At 46.4% G+C, this 2,941-nt stretch overlaps 1 annotated feature.

Annotated features, from left to right (window-relative positions):
* Positions 209–1,408: an enhancer, noted in NCBI's record as "MED14-independent group 3 enhancer chr3:45314637-45315836 (GRCh37/hg19 assembly coordinates)". NCBI's record gives its function as "activates an origin of replication core promoter dependent on BRD2, BRD4, P300/CBP and CDK7 cofactors, and independent of MED14, by STARR-seq in HCT116 cells {active_cell/tissue: HCT116}" and the evidence as "EXISTENCE:reporter gene assay evidence [ECO:0000049][PMID:35650434]".

Here is a 2,941-nt window from a genome sequence, read left to right on the forward strand (position 1 = left end):
TCTCCATGACCCCTTAGGAAGTACTGCTGAGCTACTCAGCCTCCCCCTTTCACTTGCCCTGGTGTCCTCGGTGGAGCCAGTGGAGAACAGGAATAGCCTCAGCCAGGCCACTCCAGCCCTGGGCTTCAGGCTCAGTGCGTTGCTCAGCACAAGCTGGAACCAAGAAACTTTTTTTTTATCCCAACCCTAAATCTTCTGAAAACAGTCCTAGCTAAATATAACAAGGATGCCCTTTGGCACATCTTGCCAATCTTGCAGGTGAGTCACGGGCCCTCACTCAAGGTGCCCAGGGATACAGTAGTTGCCATGTAGTTAAAAATACCTGCTGTGCTGGAAGGCAGCACAGATGGATTTAATGAGCTCACCTGCTCCTCCAAAGGCTTGCAGTAGTGTGGGTTGAGCCTGGCAGTGGGCAGATGTATGCTGAATTTCCTCTTGGCCTGAGGCCTGGTTATCAAACTGATGTAGTCCCCGGAGTCTTCTCAAATGCCCACAGAGCTGGCCCGACAGAAACAGTAAAGTGTTGGGATTAGCAAGGGGTCAAGAAGCAGAAAGCCAGCTCCATTACTCTCTTCTGCAGAAATCACCTCCTTCGACAGCCCCAGAGGCAGTGCCTTGGGTTAGTTTCCTCAGAAATGGAGCTTGAGAAAAGGATTGACTGGGGGACTGCTCCCAGATAAAACCTGTAAGGGACTGAGGAGTTAGAATGGGGCAGAGAAGAAGCTGGGCAAACATATAGCTTCAGCTGAAGTCTAACTCAGCCTGATCCCGTGGGGAGCTCACATGCAGTTGTCCCAACTGCAGGGAAGCCCTTTGGCCTTTAGGTCCCCATGTCAGTCATCACTGGCTGTGGGCTCCCCTTAGGGGAGGACGTAACCTCTCAGGCTTTTCAGGATGAGGTGGCTCTGGAGAAGGAAGTCTCTGGAGAAAGAAACAGCTGTGTCATTAGCAGTCAGCATGCACTGCAGATGGGGGATGGGTGTGGTGGCCTGGTAAAGAGATACTGATGAGACAGCAACTGTATCTACTGCTGCCACTATCTCTTGAAGGCCAAAATGGTCAAGTCATTAGTTCATAGCAAAACATTATTTTCTATGTATCCCAAGGGCAGAGGGAAACCACATATGGTAGCAACTCATTCTTGCTTTACTTCTGATTCTTCTATGCAGGGAGCATTCCTCATGACTAATGAAGAAGCAAAGGCATAAACTTGACTAATTCCTTCTTTCTCCTTCCACATTGAGCTTGCACTACCCACAGCCCCTCTCATAGAGGCACATGCTCAAGATTGCTGCCTTGTCCTTCGTTCAGGTCAGTCTGCCTTTGTTGTACAATTGCCATGGCTCTAATCAGAGGTCTGCCCAACAGCATGACTCTTCCCATCATGCTGAGCATGATGTTCAGCATAACCAGGCTGAACATCACACCTGACCTCCTCCTCCATGAAACCTCCCTGAGCACTGAAGCCCCCACTGACTTCTCCCACTGCGGAATAGACAGTTGCAACCATATCCCAGAATTCACAGTGAGAAGGATCCCATGTGCCAAGCACTGTCCCAAGTGTAATTGACTTAACTTCATTTACTTAGTGGAGCATACGTGTATCAGTTAAGATGTGTTTGGCCATCAGTAACTCTCTGAGTTCAGGTAGCTTAAAGAATAAGGAAGAATCATATTCTATATAACAGGGAGTCTAGAGGTCAGGTAGTCAGTTCAAACTATCATCAGGTACTGCATCAGGCTCTAAAGCCAGATTACGTCCGGGTGATACATATTTCTCCTCTGAGTCCATTGTAATCCCATTCTGGTAGTCTATTACCTGGGGAATAAATCATAAAAACAGTAGGGGAATAGGTAAAGGAACAAAAAGAACTAAAATACATACATGGTAGAAAATATGAATAGCTACTTCAGCCTTTGTTTCTGCCCAACACATTCACATAGCCTTAGTTGATGTGTGACTTATGACATCCTTGTTCTAAAATCTATTCCATATCCCCCTTCTCTTTAGGGGCACCTCAGCTGAACAGAGTTCTTTACCCAGTGAGCTACCCCAACCTGATTTTTGAAAAATCTAAGTTCTTGGTGGTCCTCCTTGAATGGGATTAGTAAAGTCTTCCATTAGTGTATGTTTTTTAAACACTAGACCTAACACTACCAGGTGTTATCTCCCTGTGGTGTAGGTGGAATCGCTCCCAGGCCCTATTATAAAATAGCACCTGTCACTGCAGCCTACCTCTAGCCTGTTTGGCATGAAAGTATTGAAGTGGACAGATGGCAGCCTCAGTTTTCAATACAATAAAACTATTCTTTTGTCTCCTCTCTTGGGTACTGGCACTTGAAGCCAGCAAAACACAGAGTTGCAGAAATAATGTATCCTAGCTGGAAATAGAATTCAATTCATTTTATTTAAATGAAGAGACTTTACTGAGGGACCTCTAAGAGATGCAGGCAGGGTTAAAGACACTAACAATGGATGTCGAGGCACCCAGAGGCTAATAAACAGCAGGAAGCCATTACCATGTCTAGGAGTAGGAGAGGAAATAGTGTGACCTGAGTCTAGTGAGAGCAGAGCTGGGGTGAAATTGCCCAGCGGCAGCTAGAGCTATGGAAAAAGGTGGCCCTTGACAAAGATGCAATGCTGAAGCAGGGAGGAAATGGAGAGGAAATACCCTGAGCTCTCTCTCTCCTCTGCTCTCTGCTTACCTGCTGGTAATGTCATTGGCTGATCCAAAGAGAAGCGAGTCAGCGTGGCAGCCCAAGTGAGACAGTCTTCAGAGATATAGCAGAATAGAAAAGTGGAAGAATGGATGTGGGAGAACATGTATGGAATAACCAATACAAATAGGAAATGAAGCATTTGCAAGTGCTAATGTGTACTAGTGAGAGATACCATCTCACTTCTACCTACTGGTTCCCCAGACTGGTGTATTTGGCCTGT

Source organism: Homo sapiens, chromosome 3 (assembly GCF_000001405.40).
Source record: "Homo sapiens chromosome 3, GRCh38.p14 Primary Assembly".
Classification (NCBI taxonomy): domain Eukaryota; kingdom Metazoa; phylum Chordata; class Mammalia; order Primates; family Hominidae; genus Homo; species Homo sapiens.